The sequence below is a fragment of the Homo sapiens genome, chromosome 6 (assembly GCF_000001405.40).
Source record: "Homo sapiens chromosome 6, GRCh38.p14 Primary Assembly".
Classification (NCBI taxonomy): domain Eukaryota; kingdom Metazoa; phylum Chordata; class Mammalia; order Primates; family Hominidae; genus Homo; species Homo sapiens.
Genome location: NC_000006.12, coordinates 57088241 through 57115333, shown reverse-complemented (window position 1 = coordinate 57115333; position 27093 = coordinate 57088241). Strand labels below are relative to the sequence as shown.

The window sequence follows — 27093 nt, the reverse complement described above, 5'->3', positions numbered from 1 at the left end:
TAAACTTACATTTCAACATCTCTTCCCTATTAGTACTAATAGATCAATCAATTAGATACTTTTTTTTTCTGACAGGATCTCACTTTGTTACCCAGGCTAGAGTGCAATGGTGTGACCACAGCTCACTGAAGCCTCAACCTCCTGAGCTCACTTTTAAGCAATCCTCTCACTTCGGCCTCCTGAGTAGCTGGGCCTACAGGCATGTACCAACACTCCCAGCAAGTTTTTCTTATTTTTGTGAAGACAGAGTCTTGCAGTATTGCCCAAGCTGGACTTGAACTCCTGGCCTCAAGCAATCCTCCCATCTAGGCCTCCCAAAGTGCTAGGATTACAGGCATGAGCCACTGTGCCAAGCAACACTTGCAGTTTTTAAGTGAAAATGATCCTGTAAATATATATATGAATAAAATCTAGAAAGCTATATAAATCAAAATGTTAAATAGTGGTTATTTCTGTCTGGAGGGTTTTTTCTTTTTTACATTTATTTTCTAATTTTTCTACAATCAGCATATGTAATAAAATTGTTAACTAATTTTAATTATTAATGAAGAAGACTATACAAAGACAAAAATGTTAAGGATCTCAGTCTTTTGTTTGGGAACATAATGGACTTGGTTTAAATCACTAATTTTGCCTTATAAAAATATGTTTAATATATATCCTACAAAAATATAGACAGAAATGCTGCATCTAGAAGGAACATAATCTATTAGTAAATTGTATGTAACTTTTCTCAGATTTTTGTCCCTATATGTATAATGATTGGGTTACATTATTTTCCAAACTCAACAGAAACATATTAATCAAGAATTAAGGAAAGTCACTTTCAGGTCAACAAGCTTAATGGCTATTGGGAAAATATTTTTACACAAATTTCAAGCCAAACACCGTTATCACTTAAAGCAAAAAACATTTAGCTAAAACACAAATTTGTATATATTTTTTTACATATATGGTTTTCCTAAAAGCATGTCTGATTTTGTATTTTAAAGTGTATTTAAAATACTGATGAAAGTACACTTAGTCAAATTAAAAGTTGAAACTTAAAAATATATGCTTATTCAGCTCACTTAGACCTGACCTTTCTCTATTCTTCTTTGGAATGTAAATATAGAAAGCAGGATTCTTAGTTTTTCCAATCACAAAGATAAGTTCTCTTAGGTAAGTTTAACAAATGTGCTCAAAAGGAAGCTAATTAAAAACCAAAATAAATTTTTAGTAGAAGCTAAATTTCTACTTAAGTAACTTCAGATGAATGTATATGACTTCATACATGAACTTTCTGTTAAAATTCATCTACAAATGCCTATTTCTTGAACAATTCACTCTCGATCCTGAAAATGTAGTATGGTTTAGGAAGCTAAATGCCAGACAGAACTGGCTCTAAACTGTTTTATAAAAAATTTTTCGGCTGGGCGCGGTGGCGTGATCACGCCTGTAATCCCAGCACTTTGGGAGGCCGAGGTGGGCAGATCACGAGGTCAGGAGATCGAGAGCATCCTGGCTAACATGGTGAAACCCCATCTCTACTAAAAATACAAAAAATCAGCCGGGTGTGGTGATGGGTGCCTGTAGTCCCAGCTACTCGGGAGGCTGTGGCAGGAGAATGGCGTGAACCCGGGAGGTGGAGCTTGCAGTGAGCCGAGATTGCACCACTGCACTCCAGCCTGGGTGACAGAGCGAGACTCCATCTCAAAAAAAAAAAAAAAAAAATTTTTTTTTCTCAGAAGACCCATGAGTATATTTTTTACAAATATTAAATTCAGGCAGATCTTTCACTTTATTCTTCATACATCACTCATCGAAAAGTTGAACCTCTGAGTAACTTATTGTGATAACTAGCTAAATCAGTTACTTTAAATGTTTGCAAATATTAACTCAAAGGGAATGCGGAATTAATGGAGTGATTTTACTTTTGCAAAGCAATTTCTAGAAAACAATATTAAAAAGCAGGACTAGGTAAAGAAAATGTAGTACATATACACGACGGACTACTATACGGCCAAAAAAAAAAAAAGAATGACATCATGTCCTCTGCAGGAACATGGATGGAGCTGGAGGGCTTAGTGAACTAACACAGGAACAGAAAACCAAATACTGCATGTTCTCACTTATAAGTGGGAGCTAAATAATGAGAACCAATGGGCACAAATAGGGGAACAGCAGACATTGGGCCTGAATGAGGGAGGAGGGAGAGCACCAGAAAAATAACAATCGGTTACCACGCTTAGTACCTGGGTGACAAAATAATCTGTACCCCAAACCCCCGTGATACAAGTTTACCTATAAAACAAACCTGTAAATGTACCCCTGAACCTAAAATAAAGGCTTTAAAAAAAGAAAAAGGAACAAAAAGCTGGGCTTCATAGAAGAAATTATTTTATAATAGCTCATAGCATTGTACTACTTTGTGGCTTTTTAATGATAAAGAAATGACTTATATTTGTAAATCATTATTACTAATTTCAGAAAGCACTTTAGTTCTTGATGAACCAAAAAGCTTCCATTTTATATTTTCTACAAAATTACTTTAATAGAAATATGAATATATTATGAACATGAAGTCACTAGACCTCTCTGTGAAATGGAACAATTTTGCTCCATATACCACACACGGTGATATAACCTAGGAAGAAAGCACTCTGCAAGAACAGTTACTACCCAGAGAAGTGATCACAACAACCCAGTTTCCTATCTCACTCATCATAGGCACTTTCTGCCTACTGAAAAAGCCAGTAATAGAAAAAGATGCAATTTGTAGGAGGGAAGAAGGTAAAGAATAAGGTGAGGGGATATACACAAAACAATCCAAGGCAGGTTTATTTACAGTCATAATATCTCCCTGAACATCAGCTGGCACTGATGATCCAGAGGAGTACCAACTGGAGACTATTTCTTTCATCACCTCTATCTTATATGTAAGGGACTCCAAGTTCAAAGAAAGCTCAAAGGAACAACCAACTGCAAAAGAATTAACTTTGCACATCATCACGGTATCTGACTAGCGCATTTGGTTTGAACAGAATTCCTGCAACAAATGGATTACTTCATAAAAACCCAATTTCAAAGTCCGCTTATTATTGCCCATCCTAAAGCTTCAATTCATAGTTTGGTCTGAAGTTTGCACCACCCCCCAAAGTTCTGTTTACCAGAAGCCCCTTCTACTCAACTTATATAACTCAAACCCGTATCCCAAATAACACTTTGAAAAGCAATGGTTTTTCTCAAGAATTTTATATGCAAATACAGATAAAGCAGAAGAGATAAACGCAGCATAACAGTACAATATTTATTTACCATCTTACCATCTCCAGCAGCAAAGCTTTAGAACAAGGAAACCCTCTTTTTACAAAGCAATCTCCTTCCCACCCCCAATTAGTTGTTTACAAATACAAAGTACACAGAACATCTGCTTTGTATGAACAAATCTTAAAACACACATATAGATATACTCCATTCTGTAAAGTACTTTATTCAGTGAATAAGGCTAGTCCCACCAAACCTGTTAAAAAAGATTTTCCTATATTCTCTTTTGAGTAAACTGCCAACATCTATCTCTATAAAAATCATTTTAGGAAAATGACTTACATCCTCCTTCAGTACAGGACCAAAATATAACAGTAACTGGACCTTAAGAGATTTTTAAAATATACGGCCAGGCGTGGTGGCTCACAACCACAATCCCAGCACTTTGGGAGGCCGAGGCAGGTGGATCACCTGAGGTCAGGAGTTCAAGACCAACCTAGCCAACATGGTGAAATCTTGTATCTACTAAAAATACAAAAATTAGTTGAGCATGGTGGCAGGTGCCTGCGATTCCAGCTACTCGGGAGGCTGAGGCAAGAGAATCGCTTGAACCCGGGAGGCAGAGGTTGCAGTGAGCCAAGATCGCACCACTGCACTCTAGCCTCAGCGACAGAGTGAGACTCCGTCTCAAGAAACAAAAAACAAAAAAAAAAAAACAAAAAAACCCCACAGTAACTCTGAATATGAAGTGTGACAAAGCAAAAGGGAGTTTTTTAACCCTGAGTGCCACTGTTCCACCTCTGGCACAGAAGGAAAAAAAAAAAAAAGGATGAACTGTAGAGAAAATAAAAGTAAAAGTGGGAATGGGGCCTGGTACGGTGGCTCACGCCTGCAATCCCAGCACTTCGGGAGGCCAAAGTGGGCAGATCACTTGAGGTCAGGAGTTCGAGACCAGCCTGGCCAACATGGCAAAACCCCATCTCTACTAAAAATACAAAAAATTAGCCAGGAATGGTGGCATGCGCCTGTAATCCTAGCTACTTGGGAGGCTGAGGCAGGAGAATCGCTTGAACCTGGGAGGTGGAGGTTGCAGTTAGCCGATATGACCCCACTGTACTCCAGCTTGGGCGCCAGAGTGAGACTGTCTCAAAAAATAAGGGAAAAAGAAGGAAAAAAAAAAAAAAGAAGGTAAAGGTGGCCAACAGCAAGGAAAAAAACTTAAAAAACGAATACGAAGTTGACAAAATGTGTTGGAGCTGCTGGAGATATTACTGGGACAAGGTCTACAACCCAGTTTCCTATCTGAAACACCTAGAGAGGGTTCTGGTGATAGGAACCCACTTCCTCCTTCAATACAACACCTCCAAATGCCAATGAAGCAATATTTTTATAAGTAACTTTATTTTCCCCAAGTCCACCTAGAAATGATCTGTAAGTCAAAACACAAGGAAATTAACCACTTTTAGCTACCCTGAGGACACCTTTCCATAGGTGACCCTGAAGTATGCAACCATTTAACCATGAAGGGATACCACATTCCACTTCAGGAACATTATCCTGTTCATCCTCAGAGTTGTTTTCTACCAGTGCCTCAGTTCTTTCTGATTGCTTGAGCTGCCCCAGAGCCAGAGGTGCACTGTAGAAAGCCCACCTTGGGCTCAGTTCCGGGAAAGAAAGAATTGTTCTAGATGTACATAATGGACTATGGTACAAACCAACCCCTAGAGAGACAACTCCTAGAACCTTACAAGTAATGGCTGTACAAACTTAGCACACTTTGAATATGTAGGAACCAGTACATATTCACAGATAATTTATCATCATCTATTTAGTCTCCTTCATTTCTGTTCCCCCTAAAGACTATTTCTTATAATTCTGAAACCAGACACACCCCATTGTGTTACCCACACTGTTCCACACTCCTGTTCCTCCAGCTGAATGTCTGGCTCCTGTTTCTCCACCAGGCCAACTAACTCTTGCCTAATCATCCTCCAAAACTCAGCTCACACACTTGGTAAGAAAAGCTTTTCCTCACCCCTCTATATGGCTTTTCTTATTCCATCACCACAGGCATTCTTCCAAAAAGGACATCTGCTCTTATACTTTAGTGGTATTTATTTCTCTGGAGAATATACCATCTCTTATTAACCCTCAGTATTCTCAGACCTTTCTCAATACCTGCCTGCACATAGCAGGTACTGAAAAAGATGTCTGACAAACTAAAAGACTGTTTTCAACACAGATATGAAATAACAAAATACCATCTATCAAAAATTGTATACACATACATATACACTCTAACTCCTCATTCTACATTCTCTTATTTTATTATTATGAGCATTTCTTAGCTTGTACTTGAGAAAAGAGACTATTTTACTTTAAATATATCTTTTAATGACTTAGTACACTGTTAGGCTTGTAAGACAGCCTTAAAAAATCATAAAGGGGAACATGATCACATGGCATGAAATGAACATTTACATGCTGTTAAATAACATTTTAAAATGTATGTATCTATAGCCAATACCATAGAATACCATATCCAATATGAATAGAAACAGCACAATTACTTCAAAAAGGAAATCTGCATCAGGCTTTAGTGTGTTGTCAAAGTACTTTCGGATATTACCTCATTTGAGAGTAAGAAAACTGAGGCTCAGAAAACAAGTGACTTGCTAATGCTGAGGGTCAAGGTCTTTGGAATTCAAATACCATGTGCTTTGCACCATTCCTTTTTCCTTCCATTAAACCAATATCCTCAAAATGCCAGTTAAAAAAAAAAAATGTGTGTATATGAAACAAAATGAATGTAATAAACAACATTGAACAAAGAAAAAACTCAAGCAATACGATTAACATAATCAGTGCTGAAAATGAATGGAAACAGAAACCAATGACTACGAATCAAGAATAATCTTAGTCCAGCAGTGAAATCTCAATGGGAGAACTAAGAGGATAGGGTTCCTGATGTGACAAGTGAAATAATCAGGAATTAGTTAATAGCTAAGACATCAAATACTAGTGGGGTGACAGTAAAGCCATAAAGGAAGTTCAGAAAATGAAAAGATTTGTGTATGTAAAATTAGTTTACCATAGAAGTAAAACTTGAATGGGGCTTTGAAAAACACATGGAGGCAGCCTAGTATAATGCTGAATTGAGACTGGAAAAAGTCCATATTTAAAGCTCAGTTCCACCACCTGAGCAAGTTGCTTAATGACTTAATGAAGTTTCAGTTCTTCTTCTGCAAAATAAGAATGAATTTCTCTCAAGAGTGCCTTGCAATCAGCACAGAGCCTGTACTACAGACTATACAAATGTAGATTCTTTCTTCTACTGCCTTCCCAGGCAGGAAGATGACAATTAAACACACGGATATTAACATGCTTCCAAGACCTGTCAGAATATATAGAAGCTGTTCCAAGCCATTAAAGAAAGATCAATACACAGGCCGTTCTGTCCCAAGAATCTAAATGAGACTACTTATATAACTATATTCTACTGAAGGCAAAAAGGAACGGGCTGCATACCTAACAGTAGTTAGATGTAAATTAAATATGTAAAAAAAAATGAATTGAAAACTGTGTTTAGTGACTTGGGGAAACGTTTTTATTTCATCATCCACATCACTGTTACCTCACCAATCAAAAGAGGTATTAAGGGACCACAACATATAGTTATTTAACACATTACTACATTTATAAATCAAGGTAGTGTGAAACACAGCCATCACAAATAAAAGTAGAGTTAACAAGAGGTCTAACTGTAGCCCTTAACAGTAAATGCTGTGATAGAGCCACTCTTACGGGTAATGAAAGAAAACAGTACTATGATAGCTCATGGAGCAAAGATAGCATATGAAAGTTAGTCTTACAAAAGGACTACTAACTGAACACAATTCTTGAAGCACTTAAGGTCAAAGTAGAATTTTTTAAAATATCACCAAATACAGGCCGGGCACTGTGGCTCACGCCTGTAATCCCAGCACTTTGGGAGGCCAAGGTAGGTGGATCACAAGGTTCAGGAGATTGAGACCACCTGGACTAACACGGTGAAACCCCATCTCTACTAAAAATACAAAAAATTCGCCGGGTGTGGTGGCGGGCGCCTGTAGTCCCAGCTACTCAGGAGGCTTAGGCAGGAGAATGGCGTGAACCCGGGAGGCAGAGCTTGCAGTGAGCCGTGATCTCACCACTGTACTCCAGCCTGGGTGACAGAGCAAGACTCCGTCTCAAAAAAAAAAAAAAAAAATCATCAAATATAAACTATTTACTTTCACGTTACCAAAGGAATATACTCAGGAATACTAGAAAACAGTACAACTTGAGAGATCTCCAAAGTCCTAAAAGAAAATACAGACAGCCTGAGAATTCTTATTGAATTCTTGACAAGGTACCACAAAACCCAACAGACCATTTGAAATAGGTTACCTCAACCAGTAAAGCCCTTAACATCTACGGAAAACGGGTTAACTTTAAGATATATCAGAGCTGTATTATAATAAATCCATGGGGATGGGCTTCAAAATTTTTATAAGATACATATGACCATAAACTATATATAATAAACTTGTGTGAACATGTAGAAATGAGAAAATACTACTACCATTAAACAAGGTAGCACTAAAAGTTGATTTAAGTTCAAAAATCAAAGTAGTTTGAGATATTGGACTGGCTATATTTTTTTTAAAAGGGACATTAGAAGAAACTAGAATATCTCTTCTAATAATGCTTTAAAGACATGGTATTTAAATATACAAATACAAAGCCACATCAAAATCCTGTCTAGTATACACTGATAGAATAAAAATATCATCTACATCAAAGCGATTATGGGAAGATCAGACATCCTTTCAGAAAGAGGTGTTGAATACAGGAGAAGAAAAGATCAATACATAGAATAACTGATATGCTAACAACATCAAAAGGACATGGTTGGACTATGACCACTTCCAGATATATCCCACAGGAAGCAAACAAAATTTCCAGTAATAAGTTATCTCAATGGTACCAAACACTAGTAAAGTTTTCATTATAACAAAAAACAAGTAAATGAAAAGACAAAGAAGTAAAAAATATTCCACTAATAAGAGAAGATTTAATAAAACAATATTCTGTTCATCCAGGAAGGGAAATTTCATAAAATAATATTTTAATGGTTTATAAAACTCAATATATCTGGAAAAATAATAAAAAGATTTGCATTCAATACAATAATCACCAGTTTACTGATAACTTCCACTTATATATTTTCTTAAGTAAAAAATAAAGACTGGTTTGTGTATCTACTATGATAAACCACACAGAATCGATCTAGTCTATTGAATCACATGCATAAGATGCATACAGATGAGACAATCAATTATTGGACTAGCCACTAACATTAAATACAGAATGATAGATTCCAAAAGACAAGAGAACCTAAACAGTGCGAGACTGTGGCAAAATATGCCTCACATAAAAAAAAAAAAAAAAAAAATTTCACAGCCAGGCGCGGTGGCTCACGCCTATAATCCCAGCACTTTGGGAGGCCAAGGCGGGCGGATCACTTGAGGTCAGGAGTTTGAGACCAGCCTGACCAACATGGAGAGACCCCGTCTCTACTAAAAATACAAAATTAGCAGGTCATGGTGACACATGCCTGTAATCCCAGCTACTCGGGAGGCTGAGACAGAATTGCTTGAACCCGGGAGGTGGCGGTTGCAGTCAGCCAAGATCGTGCCATTGCACTCCAGCCTGGGCAACAAGAGCGAAACTGTCTCAAAAAAAAAAAAAAAAAAAAGATTTCACTTATTGCAATCTTTAAACTACTTCTACAAAGATCTAATCCATAATTTCAAACCTTCATCAGAATCCCAGTCAACTAGTTATATCTTCAAGAATAATGAATGTCATGTCCATCCACATCAGTATCCAATTTTACCAGACAAAGGGATTCCGGAATGTGTCTTTTTCAACCTCCTTGTTTACAGTACCTGAGAGGTTATCCTGGATGTATCAGGTCCTTAAGGACATTATCAATCAGGTCACTTAGGTAGCACTCAGTAAATTATTAGTGTAGTACTAATATAGAATACTAAATACTGTCCAAGTAGCCTGAAAGAGTTTATGCTCCCTTCAAAATGTCATTTTGAGGGCTAAGTAAATAAATGGAATTATACTGATTGATAAAGAAGCTGCCACACGGTTTAAAAAAAAAAGTTTAAATGTAATTATACTGATAAGGAAGCTGTCATTCATTCTTTTAAAAAAAGATAAAAGTGTCAGCAAATTTACTGCTTTTTAAAAATGTCCTTGCTTATTCTAACCAAGTAAACACATCCACTTATCAAATATAAGTTGTGTTATCATGGCTAAGAACAAGGTTAGATACGAGACAATCAGAAAACCTAGAGCATATCTATAGAAAACAAAGCTGCCTTAAGGCCCCCCAAAATTAGCCACTCACTAATAACAAAAAGGAACTACTGTCTAGTTAGTTAAATAAGGGGGAGGGAGGTATACTCTACAACCTTCTGAAATGAATCAACAGTGCTATAAAGAAAACAAATTAACATTCAGAAGGGAGTACATTTAGATAGTGCAATTGTACAAATGATAAACTACAAGATTAAATCACTGTACAAAATTCACATAAATACCACCAGCAATATATGCAAGACATCAAAGTTTAAGTTTTAAAGAAAAGTGTAGAATTAAAAAGGCACTTCATATAAAAATGGAAACAGTACTTCTCTATACACAGTAACTACAAGAAACCATATTGTCTCTATATACATTGTATATCTAATCAAGAAATAACATTTTGAAGAATCAAGATCATTAGATACATCCTTTTTGAGAATACCAGATCATTAAACTTGCAACTATTCCAAGGCCTCCTAGAAAACCTAGAGGTATTTAAACGTTAGAGGTTGGCCTAGTAGGGAATTTTGTTGCAGGTTCTGAACATGGCAGGCATAATATGAGGATTTATTATCTGACTAAGAGTTTCTGATTCTATTGGGGTAATCTCCCTAGACCAAATCCTCACTTTAAGTTTTATAACATTATCATTCAAGTATGCCAGAGATTTTAAAATAATAAAAAATTAACACATTAAAGATATTTCTTTTGCAATCAAGAAACTAATCTATTACTAAAAACTCTTCCTGATCTGCATTCTGTCCCCATCCCTATTAAACGGTCAAATCCTTTCAGAACTACTTGGTCACCAATTTGATAATTTCCCAATACCTTTACACTTCCAGGAAAACAGAGTATCTGGAGACACTTGGGCATATCAGTTAGAGTAACTAAGAAAGGATACTTTTACTTATTACTGGGCAACATAAATATCACAGGAGGAAAAGAGAACAGCAACATCATCTTACAAATATTTAAGAATGGAGGAGCTGCGCAACAATGCAAATATAGTCAACACTACCATACGCTTAAAAAATGGTTAAGGTGCTCAGCTTTATGTGCCTTTTTTTTTCTTTTTTTTTAACCACAATTTAAAAGGCAAAGGGAAGGGGAAGCATATTAAAGGGAAGTGCCAAAATCGTTTCAGACAAACGCATTCTCAGGCATAACTTATTTCGGTTTAGTTTAAGGTTTGAAATAAGAGTATTTCAAAAACCACCAAGTTTATGACATAGCATCTAATTCAGGGAAGGAAAAGGGGACAAATGGAAAGTGAAAAGTCTGAAGTAGCCTTAGCTAGTCAGAAACACTTATGTGCAGCCACATAAAACATTTCCAAGGTCTCTCACCACTGAGTTCTCCAGTGGCAAGTCCTCTAAGATAAAACTACAGTGCCAATATCAAGAGCACATGGGATTGCTTGATTGGTGCAATACACATAAGCTACAAAAATGTATGATTTCTTAGGCCTTTGTTTCTGTTCAGGTAATCGATATTCTTCTAGAGTTTAGTTTGAAAGACACTTTGTAGAGAACACTGGCATGGACCTATTTCTACAGAAGTGGAAATAAAATTTTGAGTAAAATACAGAAAAATAAGATAAATATTAACTCTTGATATGACTGGGCTAAATTTGCAAAACAATATCCCCTTTATTAAGACTAGTTCAAGTTTAATCTACAAATAGGACAAACAAGATCAATACAGTACCCTGAAATTAACTGATAAAGTAATTTCTTCCAAGTAGGAAAATTTACGCCATCAACCTCTGTAGCACAAATAAGGAAGAAAAGTAGATTTAAAAATGGGTGCTGAATATGGTTATGATGGGGGAGGAGGAATGAGCTTCCAATAGATTATTAAAAAGTGTGGCACCAGAGAAAACATCAATTACCACTGTGCAACAACTGTGGCAAGAACAGAAGCCACATAAACCGTAAAACAGTGCCATATTCCATTAGCAGTACATCCAAAATGCCTTGATCAAGCAGATGAAAAAACGCAGAAGTTACAGAATTAAGTCTGTCAATAAAAACAACTGTTTTTGGCTGCCAAGCAAATAATACTAGGTGATGTATTCAGACCCCTCAAATTTGACATATTCTCCATTCCTGATGTCATGCTGTGAAGACATGGATCTAAGGGCTGATATACCATACATCCACTACCTTGAGTCTAAAGAGAAGATACTGTGGGACATATAATTGAGGTATCTGCTGCCAGTTCCAGTATGGTGAAAAACTATTAATGGGACCAATTGGGAGCAAAAAGATAAGCTGTCTCTTACACTAAGAATCTGACTAAATTAAGTAACCAATTAACCAAGAGCGTATCACTTAAATCTTGATTTCAGCCTTTCAAATCATTAATGGATATCATCACTTAGATATCCAGAAACAGAGCTGTGTGGCTTGTTCTCTTCACCACATCCACAGCTATGCTTTAAATCTTAAGGATTCTCAATAAAATCTAGACTGATGGTATCCCTCTTTATTACAATAAGGGGACAAGATTGTCAGGCATGTTTGGAATTCTTGGTCTTAGGAGTTCAGATTTGCATGCCTGGATCGTGTAACATCCTTTATTTCCAGGGCACTGATGTGCGTATCTTTTTTGTATTTAGAGTGTGATGCACTATCAAGCTCAAAAGAATTAAATGTTTAGAAGGTAGGTTGTTTAAGAAGGCCATCTTGGTGAAAGGCCCAGCTTACAGTGAGAGACTACCATGACTCAGTCTTACAGCTTGATACGAGAGCTTGATAGGTCAAAGACTATTAGGATTGATAACAACAAACAATTCTCTCACATGTAGCTTTATGAGTAGTGATGGTATGGTGGCCATCAAAGTCTTGATGAAGATAGTTACTGTGCAATTTCTACAGAGATGTTACAGGTAGAAGTCTTTTTCCAGTTGGTGTCCATAATAGACCTGCGACATCTAGCCATTCCAAGGGGAAGCAAACTGGATTTGGCAAAATTTGATTTGAATTCCAGTTGACACAAAGCTTCATGGCTGATTCTGAAGTCTCACAGAGCTTGATAGTAGTACGGACTCTTGGTGAGTTGACCATCTTGACATAAAGACATTTTAACAGATGTGTCATTTTGTGAAGATCTGTCAAACTGAAGCCTGAACAAGGAAGCACTGATAACCTAAAAGTTAAGGATTTACCTCTGGTCTTAGTAAACAGACATCTAGTATTATTTCTAGATTCAAAATCTGCTAGTCCTCAGTTTACAAATAAGATTTTCCTGAGGAACACATCTTTATATTTTTCTTTAATCACAAGAGGATTCAGATTCCTGAGTGGTCCTCCTCCACACTTATTTTTGGACCAGAAATAAAGGATAAACATTTGTCCAACCCTTTCAAGAAAGTCTCCACTGCTCACTTGGCCAATAAGTCATGAGTTTCTTTATTATATACTTCATTTCAAAAGTCTAGAATTCAAATGTCAGCTGTGATCATTCCAGACATGCATCCAGTTTTTGAGATGATCTCCTACCTGTAGATCCTATTTGTACAAGGAGGAACAAGTAAAATAGTTAGGATCTTGAATGACTACTCTGCTGAACATTAAACAGGTTATTAATTCTTGTACCCATGGCGTTCTGGAGAGTCTCCCTTCTTTCTATATCTATAGGGGTGGTTTCGAGGTTTGTACCAATCCCCTTTGGAGTATCCTCTATTGTGATAATGTGCTTTCTGATCATGACTATAAAAGTATCGATGCTGATTATAGTATTTGTGATCTTTATAGTCATTTTCTTTTATATTGTTGTCTTCTGCAACAACAGCTTTCACATCTTGTCCAAAAAGGGAAGTACCATCAAAGGGCAAGTGGGAGATCTTCTCCTGGGTTTTCTTAGTGAGAGATGTAAGTCGAAGCCAGGCCTGCCGTCTATAGTCTATGGCCATGGCCATAACTCTGACTACAGAGTCCATTATGTCCCTAGTAGTACAAAGTTGCCAAAGGCCTGCATCCATACCATCAGATATTATGCATCTTGCTTTTCCACGATCAAATTCTGGGTCATGAACCAGATCTTCCATGTCTTCCCAGAGTTTACGCTGATATTGAGTCATATAGGCCATGTAGCTAGCAGCTCGGGCTGCAATGGAGGCAGCGTGGTAAAACCTACAACCCATGACCTCCATTTCTTTTGAGGTAGAATCTAGAGGGGATGTTGTGTTTCCTCTTTTGCTGTGTTCTAATGCTTCTACAATGGGGCCTTCAGCTGGTGGGTTTGGTTGGAAAGGAGAGGTGTCCTTGGCCACAGGATATACCCTGTGTCCCATGAAGGAAGAAGGATGGCAATCAGCAGGGTCTTTAAAAACCTCAGTGGTGGCAATTCTCAGAAGAGGATGCAATGGAGGAACCAAACGTTTTTTAGAAGTCACACAATCAGGTTTCCCTTCACATGACTCCGCTTCAGATTGTAATGTCACCCTTTTTATAACACCTCTTTGTTCCATTCTCTTCAAAAGACCTGTGAAACTAGATTGGCTGGGGTCAGATGGCTGCCCTTTGTCATCAGCTGATGGTGATTTGTAATCAGTTTCTTCTTCAACTGTGGATAAATTTTCCTCTTTAGAGGTGGAGATGTCCCAAGGAACTGAGGAGTTCTCACTTGGCCTAGAATGATGAAATCTAAAACAGCTCCTGGACTGCAGATCACGTATCACTCGGGACATTTCAGCTACTTGTGTCTGGAGATAGAGGATGGCATCCCGTCCATGCTGTGAAGCTGAAGAAGAATCTATACGTAAATTCTCTTTGACCTCAGAAGAGGCCAAAGATTCTTGGGGGACCAGAAGTGGAGATGAAGGCAGAGTCTGAAAATTCTGTGATGATTTAAGGGTCTCTGTCTCAGAGATCTTAGTATCTGAATTATTTTGATCATTTTTCTGGTTCTCCAATGGGTTCTCAACAGAGGAAGTTTGAGAAACTATCCTTTCTGGACTGCTGGAACAACTCCCAGAGAAGGAGCTGCTATCTCCAATGGGAAGAGGAACATTGCAGCTAGAGCACATTTCTGGGCGATGATTCTCAGAGGATGGCACCTTAGATTCAGGCATTCTCTGGGTTATCCACATGAACAAGAAAACCAAGGAAGAAAAAAAATATGCTTTTAATATGTTAACTTTCAAGTGCAGAGATTCATGTCCAGTAAGTAGAACTCAATTTTTAAATTATTATAATTAACAGTGAAAGATACAATCCACTCAAGGTCAGCAAAAGGAATCAGAGAAGTCAAATCCACAAGCTTCACTACCCCAAAGACCCAAAATCAACTACTGGCATTAATCTGGGACTCTGTTTATGAAAAAGGAGAGAGTAAAAACAAGCTCAGATCACGTGGTGCTATGCTGGCCTGCTGTTTGGTCCTGTGTGAGACCACTCATAAGAATAAAAGAAAAAAATATCCCATTCAAGATATGTTAAGTTCTACTCAAGATATGCAAGAAGCTAATGATGGCAAAGAGAACTTAAGGAAAGTTCCACTGAGAAGAAAAAAAATCTAAAACTCCCCCATTAGAGTCATTTTAGGCACCTCTGAAAATTCTGTCATTCACTGTCCACGAATAACAAAACTTCCCAGTTGTATAGTCCTACTTTATGGTTTGTAGTTATAAGAAGTTATAATTTGTTACCTCATTTCATCCTCACAACAACCCTGTGAGGTAGGTATTATTTGATTAAAAAACGGAGGCTAAAAGGTTACTTAATTTATCCAAAGTCACAGAATTTGTAAAGAGTAAAGCTGGGACTCAAACCCAGGTATTCTGATTCCAAGTCCAAGTCTCAATCCCCTATATCACAGAGCAAGAAGTTTGTGGCCACTCTGAACAATAACTAAGAGTTTTCTAATCCAAGATGAAAACAGCTCATTAACAGAAGTTTGGGCTAAAGCAAGGACAAATGAAAGGCAAGACTGTTACAAAGGGCTCAACTAGTTCAATTCTCAGAGCAAGGGAAGTATTGGTCCAAGGGTCAAACCTACAACCAGTACATCACAGGTAAGATAAATAACTCCAAATATGTGGGGCACAGACAAGGTTAAAGGGATGATGACTGAAGTAATATATCCCCTATAAACCCTTCCCCCACTTTCCATTCCTAAAAGGATCTCTACATATCCTTTTTTCTAAGAGAAAACAAATTTTCTGTGGTCATGTGGTTCTGGAACAAAAGAATCCTGTTGTATAGGGCACCTGAGGAGAGTAAAGGAAAAGAGAAGGGAAAGAGGAATCAATAAGCTTGCAGTTTTTATTCCATTTCCATTTTATCAGATATCACCTCTAAGGCTCTGAATTTCCCAGAGTCATATTATCATTTTTTTCATAATCTCATTCAAAGTAGAGGAAAAAAACTGGAAGTAGGAGATCTGGGCAAAGGACTCCTTGGACTACCTATTTTAGCCCATTCTAATAGAACTGGCTATTTCTAAACACAGCCTTCCCTGATTTGGTAACTCTCTTTAGAGAATACCTCTTAAAAGACACAAGTGAAGAAACACAAATCAAATATAATGTACTTACATCAGTATAAGAGGTGCTAGGCTCTTCATCATCACTGCTGACCAGATCAATGTATTCAAGAACAGGTCGTAATGGTCCTTCCTATAAACAATCAAGCAAATTTAGAAGTCATTAACAGTTATTCAAACCAAATTAGCATTTAAACCTACAGTGTTTTTTTTGGTTGGGACTGGCAAGAATTACTCTGAAGAGGGAGCTTTGTGGGTAGCAGAAAATAACCAGAACAAAAGCAGCAGAGGAAAATATTCAAAATATATAAATGTAAAATGATGACAAGACCTAAAAGGAAGCACCTACACCCCTGTAGAATATTAGGGCCATGTCAATTACTTGGGAAAGGAAAATTAATATAAGAACAGTGCTACAAAGACACAAATATTATAATCCAGTGCTTTACACCTAGAATTGGTATCAAAAGTCTGTTAATATATCCAAGTTCAAAAATGAATTGACTTATAGCTCAGCTTCATCATCCACCACTGCAGAGTCAAGCATCAAACCTGAATTCTTTTCCATTCTTTCTTTCCATCCATGCCAATTTCTTCATCAACCAGGCCTTGAATGTCAGGCTTAAAAGCCTAGATTTTATTCAATAGGCAAAAGAAAATAAAAAATAATAATAAGACAATAACATGAGAACTGTGCTTCAAGATCAATCACATAGAGGAGTATGGAGAGCAGGGAAAGCAAGATAATCAGTATAGGCACATGACAATGCAGAACTAATGGTGGTGATGGCAAGAAGAGTATGGTAGTGGATATACAAGAGAATACAAGTAAAATGGAAAACTAAAAGAGATTGATTATTAGGCCAGGTGTGGTGGCTCATGTCTGTAATCCCACCACTTTGGGAGGCCAAGGTGGGGGATCACCTGAGGTTAGAACCATGCCTGGCTAATTTGTGTACTTTTAGTACAGATGGGGTTTTACCATGTTGGCCAGGCTGGAGTTCGAGACCAGCCTGACCAACATGGTAAAACTCCATCTCTACTAAAAATGTACAAATTAGCCAGGCATGGTGGTGCGTGCCTGTAGTCCCAGCTACTCAGGAGGCTGAGGCTGGAGAATTGCTTGAACCTGGGAGGCAGCAGTTGCAGTGAGCCAAGATCACGCCACTGCACTCCAGCCCGGGCAACAGAGCAAGACTATCCCAATAATAATAATAATAATAATAATAAATATATAAATAAAAATAAATTTAAAAGATTATTTAAAAAACAAAACAAGGAGTCAGTGATCTCTAAGTTTTTAACCTCAGGTGACTATAAGAATAGTAATGCCAATAGTATAACTTTGGAAAGCAGAAACAGAAAGCTGACATTCCTATGGGCTGAAGTAACAGTGGTACACAGGGTGTATCTAGCAGACAGCTGGAAATGCAGGCCTGTAATCTGGGAAGTATGAACATACCTGGAAATAAAGACTTGAGAGTTGCTCCCCTAGAAGACTATTAAACTCTAGAACTAAACTGAACTATCATATTGCCTCAATAAAAAGCTGTCAGTGTTAAATGTGGCCAGAAACACGGCAACAATAAAATGCCACTGAATGTGGCAACCAGACATTTTTAAATGTCTTTGAGAGAGCAACTTTCAAGAAAGTAGTGAGCACAGAAGCCAGGCTCTAAAACACTAGAGAATGCAGTAGAAAAGGCCATATTCTTTTGAGAAATCCAGTATGTTGGAAACAAAAGAAAGGAACACAGAAGAAATAATAGCTGAGGAAAGGATTTTGTAGGATGTAGAAAGTTGACTGCTGGAGACAGAAGCTGAGATCTAGGTAATGATCTTCCCTAGAATAGGCATCCAGTCTCAAAGATAGCTTCTTTCTCCCCTAGGCTATGACTTCTGCTCAACCAAGAAACTGCCATCTTTTGGGTACTAATTCAGATACCAAGATAAAACAAGAGGGCAAAACTGGGCAGGGATCTGTAGCAAAGGAATTGAGATTTTTGCTCAAACTATAAACACGGAAGTAAAAATTAAAGAAACAGAGGAAGCAATACTCTCCAATATATGGTAAACAGAGCTGAATCACCTACTTTAAAATCTACATCTGGTATGAAGAATGTAGGCCATGCACGGTGGCTCACACCTGTAATTCCAGCACCTTGGGAGGCAGAGGTGGGTAGATGACTTGAGGTCAGGAGTTCAAGACCAGCCTGGCCAACATGGTGAAACCCTGTCTCCACTAAAAATAGGAATAGGGTGTAGTGGCGGGCACCTGTAGTCCCAGCTACCCAGGAGGCTGAGGCAGATGAATTGCTTGAACCCAGGAGGCAGAGGCTGCAGTGAGCTGAGATGGTGCCACTGCACTCCAGCCTGGGCAACAGAGCAAGACTCTGTCACAAAAAAAAAAAAAAAAAAAAAAAAAAGACTGAAAATTGTATGTTCGATCCAAGAAGAAAAATTAAAATGATAGCTTTTCCCATTGATATAATCATCTTACTTTGCTCTCTACAAGAAATATGCATTAGGAACCTTCATTATAGGTCCACAGAAATAGCAGAACACAAAAGCGCCCCCCTACCCCCCCGCCCCGGTAACCAGAAATACACAGAGGCAGAGTTCCCATGCACAGAAAGTAAAGAAGAAGATGAAAGATGACAGGATGCAAGGTAAAAAGTAAAATGGGCTGGAAAAAAATAAGATAAACAGGCTGGGCACGGTGGCTCATGCCTGTAATCCCAGCACTTTGGGAGACCAAGGTGGGCGAATTGCCTGAGGTCAGGAATTTGAGACCAGCCTGGCCAACATGGTAAAACCCTGTCTCCACTAAAAATACAAAAAATTAGCCAGGCATGGTGGTGGGCGCCTCTAATTCCAGCTACTCAGGAGACTGAGGCAGGAGAATTGCTTGAACCCGGGAGGCAGAGGTTGCAGTGAGCCAAGACTGTCCCACTGCACTCCAGCCTGGGTGACAAGAGCGAAACTCCATCTCAAAAAAAAAAAAAAAAAAAAAAAAACAGAAAGAAAGAAAGGAAGAAAGAAAATGATCAAAAACATAATTTAAAAATAGCTGCAGGCAGGATGGCTCATGCCTGTAATCTCAGCACTTTGGGAGGCCAAGGCAGGTGGACCACATGAGGCCATGAGTTCGAGACCATCTGGGCCAACATGGCAAAACTCTGTCTCTATTAAAAATACAAAAATTAGCTGGGCGTGGTGGTGTACATCTGTAATCCCAGCTACTCAGGAGGCCGAAGAACAAGAATCGCTTTAGCCCAGGAGGCAGAAGTTGCAGAGAGCTGAGATCACGCCAGTGCACTCCAGCCTGGGCAACAGAGAGGGACTCTTGTCTCAACAACAACAACAACAACAACAACAAAAAAAAAAAGCTGCAGTAATATTTAAAGGGAAGGAGTAAGGACAAATAAGGTTATCAGAAATTTATTCTTGCAGTGAACCATTAAACCAATATGCAAACATTTTTCAACTACTGAAGAACAATAATTTTATATGATTCACACTAAGAGAAAAGAAAAAAAGGAAAATATGGATAGAAAATCCAGACGAGCGTGGTAGATCACGCCTATAATCCCAGCACTTTGGGAGGCCGATGACGGAGGATCACTTGAGTCCAGGAGTTTGACACCATCCTGGACAGAACAGTGAGACCTCATCTCTACAAAAATAAAATAAATTAGCTGGGTACAGTAGTGCGTGCCTGTAGTCCCAGCTATTTGGGAGGCTGAGGCAGCAGAATTGCTTGAGCCTAGGAGTTCAAGGCTGCAGTGAGCTATGATTACGCCACTGCACTCCAGCCTAAGCAAGACTGAGACCCTATCTCTTTAAAAAAAAAAAAAAAAAAAAAAAGTATCACAGAAAATCCAAAATTGAGAAAAAACAGAAGTCATTTAGAATATTTATACATTCAACAAATAATTACTGAGCTTTAAGTGACAGAGTAGAATGAGAAGGGGAATCATGTTGAAAATCACTAAAATGGCAAAGAGATTGAGTGGAAAAATAAGGACAGACATGTACCCCAAAGGAAAAGATTACTTATACACAAATAGTGTACACTAGCTAATTTTCAGTGAATATGGAAAAACTTCCATGATAATGAGCTTACGGAAGTAAAACATTTAGTACTCCATTTATTTGACTAAGAATCAATAACATTTATTGAGCCCTGTACCATGCCTTGTGCAAAGCTTTTAATGTACATTTCACTTAATCCCCCAAATTACTTTACAAGGTGAGATATTGAATTATCAGTATTATCCCATTTAACAGATGGGAAAACTGAGTGGGGTATACTTGGTTCTCTAAACACAACTGGCTGTACAGGCACTATAATTGTGAGGTAGTTCAAAACATAAATACTATTTTTAAATCAATGTTTATTACCTGAGTTCCTGAAATAACACATTTTTTCTTCCTTAAGAGAAAATGGACTACCTCTATTACCCCATCTGTGAATACTTTGTAACACTGACCAAAAATAAATTACCAATTTCTCAAAAGAAGTTATGTTTATAATAAAAATATCAAGAAAAAATAATTTGGTATAATATTTATAATTACTACTTATATCTTTAACAACTATAACTGCGTATGGTCCTGTAATTACAAGGTATTTTTATTTGCATTTGTTCTATCCATCAACTAGTAAACCATCATTCTCATGCCCTATTGCACCACTAACAAAAAATAAAGGATTCTAAGCAGGGCATGGTGGAGTGCACCTGTAGTCCCAGCTACTCGGAAGGCTGGGGAGGGAGGGTTGCTTGAACCCACAAGTTTAAAACTGCAGTAAGCTATGATCATACCACTGCACTCCAGCCTGGGCAAGAGTGAGACCCTGTCTCTGAAATAGAAATAAAAAATTAAATAAAAATAAAATTTAAAAATTAAAGAATTCTATTCCCAATACCACACAATTTAGGGGCAGAAGCACATGTAGAAGCATGGCAAAACAGTTTAGGAAAACAGTTAAACCAATATTCTAAGTTTTAAAATATGTTTCATGAAATAAAAAGCTTTCATTCCTGTTATGAGAAAACTGATTCTCTAAGCCAAAACACCAATTTCCTACTAATTGGAAAGAGATATCAATACACCAAAATATGGTCTACTAAAAAGGTAGTTTACTACAACCAAAGTTTTCTCTAAAACAAAGAATATGGATTTGAGCATAAATCTGAAACCCTAAATAATTCATTTTTCCCCCCATATAGAGAAGTCAGGGACACAGGTTACTTGTGCAGTCCTGACAGGCAACATTTCAAATAGTTTCCAATTGTGCCTGTTTTATAGTTCAAATTTAATCCAACATTCAAGATCTATACTACCTGGCCCATGCCGCCTCCTCCCACCTTAAAAAACAACAAAAAATCTTTCACGACTACACATAATCCTCTCTGCTTTCCCATTCTGATGCCTTTCCTTGTTTCTTCTACTCAAAATGCCCTTTTAAACACATATAAATCCTAACTACTACTTATTACTACTACTAACTACTACTATGATAAACTGCAAGTCTTATGTCCTTTTTTAACAGCACTATGTACTTTCTGTAAGAGAACTTTCTACTACCTCTAAGGACTATTTACATACTTCTCACCTCCTATCTCATCATTCACACTAAAATACTGACCCTTAAGGGTAGGATGTATTTCAAATTAATCCTTGTAGCTCTAAGGAACTTAACTCACGGCTTTGCATATTATGAGCTTCAACACTTTTTATTTATTAAACCAATCACAGCCCCAAGACACCCAGCCAAATAATACTATTTTCTGCCTGACTCCCTTCTGCAGCTAAAGTATTAATACTTGATCTATGTGGTACTGAAGCTATTTAGGAAATTATATCCTGATTTCACTGACTTCCAATGATGCTACACTATATCAATAATCTTGGCTGAAACCTGAATCTCTTGTATTGTTTTGTTAGCAAAATTACGATAGGTTCCCTCAGCAGTTTGTATACCTTCATATCTAGAACAGCACTGTGAACTATCACATCATCAGCTATTAGTTTTTTAGAAGTAAATCACATAAAAAATCTGCAATTTCAAAGAAAGATATAAAAACAGTAGTTGAATAAAGGATCATATTACTAAACAGAAATAAGAACAACAGACCTAAATAAGAAGTTTTTGTTATGGCAGCATTCTGTTTCTTGATTTAGGCGCTGTTTACATAGATGTATGAGGCTTTGCAAAACTTTATCCAACAAGTATACTTATGAATTGTGCACTTTTATGTATATTTCAATAAAATTTAAATGAGAGGGCCCATTTTTGCACCCCCCTCCATATCTATATCACTCCTTTCCTTCAGCATGCTGTGTTTAGTTTCAGATTCTGTATTCTACAAATCACAGAATAACTCCTGGGCCACCAAGTGGACTAAAAGTGGGAAAATTAGGTTAGTAAGAGCTATGAAATCCAAACCGTAAAAACGAAGAAGTAACATCACAATACTCATTTTTTATCTGAAAAAATCAAACTTTTTCATCTTTACTGAATAAGCATTACTGACTGGAGGAGCCACATATAGGATTGGATTCCAGAGAAAAGTAAAGATTCTGTCTCTGAATATATTTTGAAATATAATTAAGCTATTATTGTCATGTAAGTGGTGCCACTTAAATGTAAAGGGAAAATTTTTAATAGGCTTCTTCTAGTATTGTAATTACACTTACAACATATAATTCACTTCTCCATGTGGAACTGTCAAACCTCTGAACCTTTATTTGGGAACAAGAGTAAGAAGTTGTATCATGTCAGATATTCAATGATTGTACATTCTTTACTCTTGATGCAAAGACGGAAGTGATCCTCTACATTCAACATAAAATTTAAAGACTCCTTTAAACCAAAGGTGAACTCAAGCCTACATTAACTAGTCACAAGCTACACTGTAATTCATTACACAAAACATTTTTCAAATATTAAGAGATGCTACTCGTGTTTCTCAAAAAGGGCCATAGTTCATAAAGAAGTATGTCATTCCTAGTATTATTTCTACTAAACACCATAAGAAAAAAATTCTCTTCACAAATATACCAAGATTCAGGAAGAACCTGAAATATCTGTCCTCAAGAGCCATGGAAACCTGTTATTAAACATACTTCAGCGCATGGTGAAGGAAAGGACAGGATACAATTCACCCCCATCCTCTACTCCAAATCCGTAGAAGATCAAAATGAAAAGGAGAGAGTACAACATACACTGGTAAAGGGAAAGAAATTCAATAAAACAATCTTGTGAAGGACTCCTAAACAAATCTATTAAAATACCATACAAAAATGAATTACCAAAATGGCCCTAATGCTGGGAAAGAAACTGTTTAATAACCAATTTTACAAGGTTTCCCAGCATCCACCATAAATGCACATCTGACACTCAACGAAAAATTCTACAGCTTGAATACCAAACTGCAACTAACTACGGCATTCCAAAAGACGAGTTGGGGACAGAACCGTTTTCTGCCTGGCGAGCTGAGATACCACTTTACGCAAAGCCTTTCTAAAACTCCAATAATTATGGAAGAAAATCACCCCAAAATACATCATAAAACACTCTCTTCTGCTTTGGAAACCCATGCTGTACAAAGTGTGCTCAGAAATCCTTATGTCCCTGCACTTGTCTGAAAATGAAGATTCCTAGGCCCCCGCCTGGAAATTCTGATTCGGTAGGTCTGCAGTGGGGCCCAGGAATCTGCCTGTTTATACTTACTAAGGCTTGAAAACTACTGTCTCAAAGGGAACAAACTCAGAAAAATAGAGCATGTTCCCAGTGATGTAGGATTCTTCATTATGAGCATCAACTGTACTATGCCGTAACATGATGATCTCAGAGGTTAGAGAAATCTTCAAGCTATTTGCCTTCATGTTAGAAGCACCATAACGCTAAGATTCTGGGCTCTCACAACCCTTCCTGTTTTCTACGTCCTTGCTCATCATTAGCAGCTCCTTCCTCCGTGTCGCCTTTAGAAGTTACTCTTGCTCCATTTCAAAACAGCGTTTTAGACACCAGCGTTTTTATCTTAAGTTTAAATGAAAGGCAGGGGGCGAGATTAAGTGTACAGCACGTTCTTTAGGACGTGCTCTTTGTGATGGCTACGGGGGTGGCTCAGATAGCTCTTTTGGTAAATTTCCCAATCCTGCGCCATGCTCCAGTGTCTAGTATGTATTAGACACTCATGAACATTAAATGACCAGGTGAGGTAACATTACATAATGGCCCACCATAGTCTTTTACTCTGGGAAAACCCCAATCATCATTGCTACTTACACTGACAAACTGAATGTCGTCTTCATTTTCATCCGTTGTTGACTCAGATGCCTCAGGGCCAGCTGGAGGGACAGATTCTATTATCTATAAAAACAAGCCAAAACATGCTTATCTGTTCAGCCACATTCGTGTAGGAAGAGAGCGTTTCCGAAAGGAACAATTAAAGACAGAGAGCTCTTGAGGAAAACGAACTGAGCACAATTTCACGGAAACCCGACTAGGAACGGAACTCGAGCTCTGGCTCTTGCCACAGAGTGTGCGGAGCTGCAGGGACCCAACGCTGAAAACGCGTTAGTTACCAGCCTCTCACAATTCCCCTTATCTACTCCAGGAGGAACGCAAGCTCAACACCGAAGGGCAATCCTGCCTTAAAACGTCGCTCCCACTGGCCCAGCCGCGGCCACAACGAACGCCAGGGCCCGTGCGGGGGGCCGGGCGGCCATTGTTGCTGCGGGTTCCTCGCTCAGACACGCACCAGGCCCCAGAGCTGGGCTCGGCCCAAGACACTGAAGAGGTATCGCCCCGAGGCTGCGACGGAGCACCAGGCCTCAGACCGCAGAAAACACAAACCCTTCGCGGTTCGCCTCTGAGAACGCCAGGACCCTCACTCGACTACTCACCTCCGACCCCGGGTCTCCCATGTCTCCGACGGCCGCGCTGACAGCACCACTGCTCCTGCTGTCCCTGCCGCCGCCGTCGCCACGAATCCCCTTCCCGCCCTGCACCGCCTGGCGCTACCGGGACCCGCCCCTGCGTGAGCGCCGACGCCACCGGCGGAAAGAGACGCAAAACCTCTTCAAAGGAGGAGCGGCCCTTACTGGCCCGCTATGCCCCCGGAGCCGCTTTCTCTCACTCCCGGGCTTCCTTCCCCGCGCCGCGCAGGATGCTGGGAATTGTAGTTCGGGTCCGCCCCGAGACCGCCCCTCGCCGGAGAGGAAAAGAACCATGCGCCTAAAAGACGCCAGCTGCAGTGGGTGGGGCGAAGCCAGGGGCCAGCTGGGTCCTGTGAGATAGCGAAGCACTGGGAAGATGTGGGAGGATGTGAAGGAGGGTTTGAGTTGGTATTTGTTTGGTTTTGGTATGGTTGTGAAGCGCAGCTCATTGATTTTTCTGTTTTAGCCCTGAAGGTGGGTGGTGGGAACGGATTTCTCTTTTTTTCCTTTCATTTTTAAATTTATGTATTTACTCATTTTTGAGGACAGGGGCTATGTGGAGGTTTAGCTGAATCCTAGGATCAGGAAAGAATCTGAAGTATCCTTACATTACACACCTCTTCCCTAGCGTCAGTCTCCCAGGCCCTGCCAGTATTAATACACCTGAGGAAGAAAATAGGGATGGGAAATCCAGGGCCCAATAGGAAAGGGAACCGAGGTCTACCTAACTATCACTAAACCCTAGCCAGTGATTTTGAAATGCACTTTTTCAATATTCTCAGATATACTGAGAGAATATGAGAGATCTATTTATAGACTGCTGTAAGGTTGACCTTTTAACCTTTTGTGTGTTCACACTCATAAACCAGTCTATAAAATAGATCTTTTATATTCAACTATGCATTTAATCTGTTCTCAGGTAATACCTTACCAAAAATTTAAAAAGGTTTTTTAAAAAAACACACCAATCGTTGTCAATAAAGTTTATGAAAAGAATTAAGTGATAACATTATTTTAGGCCAGGCGGGTCCTCACACTCTGGGAGGCCGAGGCGGGCGGTTCACTTAAACCCAGGAATTCGAGACCAGCCTGAGCAATAAGAGGGAACCTCGTCTCTACAAAAAATACAAAAATTAGCTAGGCGTAGTGGTCCTTGCCTGTAGTCCCAGCTACTCAGGAGGTTTAGGTAGGAGAATCGCTTGAGGCCGAGAGATTGAGATCCAGGCTGCAGGGAGCCAAATTCATGCCACTGCACTGCAGCCTGGGTGACAGAGCAAGACACTGTCTCAAAAAAAAAAAAAAAAAAACACAAATTATTTAACATCTCAGATTCCTGTTTTTGTTTGTATGCAAAACTACCATCTGATTGCCTAAGCCTGTAGTAATTATTGTTTAATATTTGACATTTCCTGCATTTCCACCAAGTGCTTTATGACTTTAGTTACTTTCTACCTAGTAAGTTTGAGACTTGTGGAAGCCAATTGAGAATGACAGACGTGCATGGGGAGTTCTTCAAAAGCTGTGTGTAAATTAAATATTTTTAAAACGTTAATGTGTAGGCAAAACTTGTATTTAAAAGCTCTTCCTAGTGGGCTGGTGAAAGTGTCCTCTAATATTTAATCAGTTGAGGCAGGAGTTAATGGGTAAAATTCTTGGAAAACAAGCAGTATGTGGCTAGACCCAAAAACTTCTCACACCATACAACTCAGTAACTGTAGTTGCAGGGATTTTCCTGAAGATACATCACAGGTTTTTTTATAACAGCAAAAACTGGAAAATATCTAAATGTCTAATAATTGGGGAATGTAATGTTTAAATTTTGGTATGTATGCTATAAAGATAACATTACAGTGTTTTATCTCCACTGAAAATGTTTACCTAACATTTCTCAAAGCATATTTTTCAAAAATTCAAGAAATATATAGGATAATTAGAACCATGTTGTATTCGTTCTTGCACTGCTATAAAGAACTACCTGAAACTGCGTAATTTATAAAAGAA

General features: G+C 38.5%; 1 protein-coding gene and 1 long non-coding RNA gene across 10 annotated transcripts in view, besides 4 other annotated features; one reads left to right on the top strand and one right to left on the bottom strand.

The window, feature by feature from the left end:
- ZNF451-AS1 (ZNF451 regulatory antisense RNA 1) overlaps positions 1 to 423 on the top strand; it is a 57303-nt gene extending 56880 nt beyond the window's left edge. The window contains exon 4 of the long non-coding RNA NR_110742.1: positions 76 to 423. This is a non-coding gene — a long non-coding RNA (ZNF451 regulatory antisense RNA 1). The remainder of the gene's footprint in view (positions 1 to 75) is intronic.
- The window catches only part of ZNF451 (zinc finger protein 451), an 80118-nt gene extending 54972 nt beyond the window's left edge, over positions 1 to 25146 (bottom strand). For 4 of the 9 annotated variants that reach the window (XR_007059234.1, NM_001031623.3, NM_015555.3 and 1 more), the window contains exons 1-3: positions 25060 to 25146; positions 24440 to 24523; positions 16193 to 16273 (exon numbers count right to left, since the gene is read on the bottom strand). Coding sequence is in view for 8 of the 9 variants with exons in the window: in NM_001031623.3 (NP_001026794.1) it covers positions 16193 to 16273; positions 24440 to 24523; positions 25060 to 25080 (186 nt within the window). In the remaining variant the exon portion in view is untranslated. Of the gene's footprint in view, positions 1 to 5617; positions 14732 to 16192; positions 16274 to 24439; positions 24524 to 25059 lie in introns of those variants that run through there. The other 5 variants (XM_011514460.3, XM_047418624.1, NM_001257273.2 and 2 more) reach the window with 4 other exon arrangements.
- Positions 24578 to 25460: an enhancer, noted in NCBI's record as "H3K27ac hESC enhancer chr6:56954672-56955554 (GRCh37/hg19 assembly coordinates)". NCBI's record gives its function as "activates a minimal SCP1, AML or CMV promoter by ChIP-STARR-seq in naive H9 embryonic stem cells {active_cell/tissue: H9 hESC(naive)}" and the evidence as "EXISTENCE:reporter gene assay evidence [ECO:0000049][PMID:30033119]".
- Positions 24578 to 25477: a biological region, named in NCBI's record as "H3K27ac hESC enhancer GRCh37_chr6:56954672-56955554".
- Positions 25088 to 25157: a silencer, noted in NCBI's record as "silent region_17301". NCBI's record gives its function as "represses an Ori minimal core promoter by ATAC-STARR-seq in GM12878 lymphoblastoid cells {active_cell/tissue: GM12878}" and the evidence as "EXISTENCE:reporter gene assay evidence [ECO:0000049][PMID:35858748]".
- Positions 25328 to 25477: an enhancer, noted in NCBI's record as "active region_24709". NCBI's record gives its function as "activates an Ori minimal core promoter by ATAC-STARR-seq in GM12878 lymphoblastoid cells {active_cell/tissue: GM12878}" and the evidence as "EXISTENCE:reporter gene assay evidence [ECO:0000049][PMID:35858748]".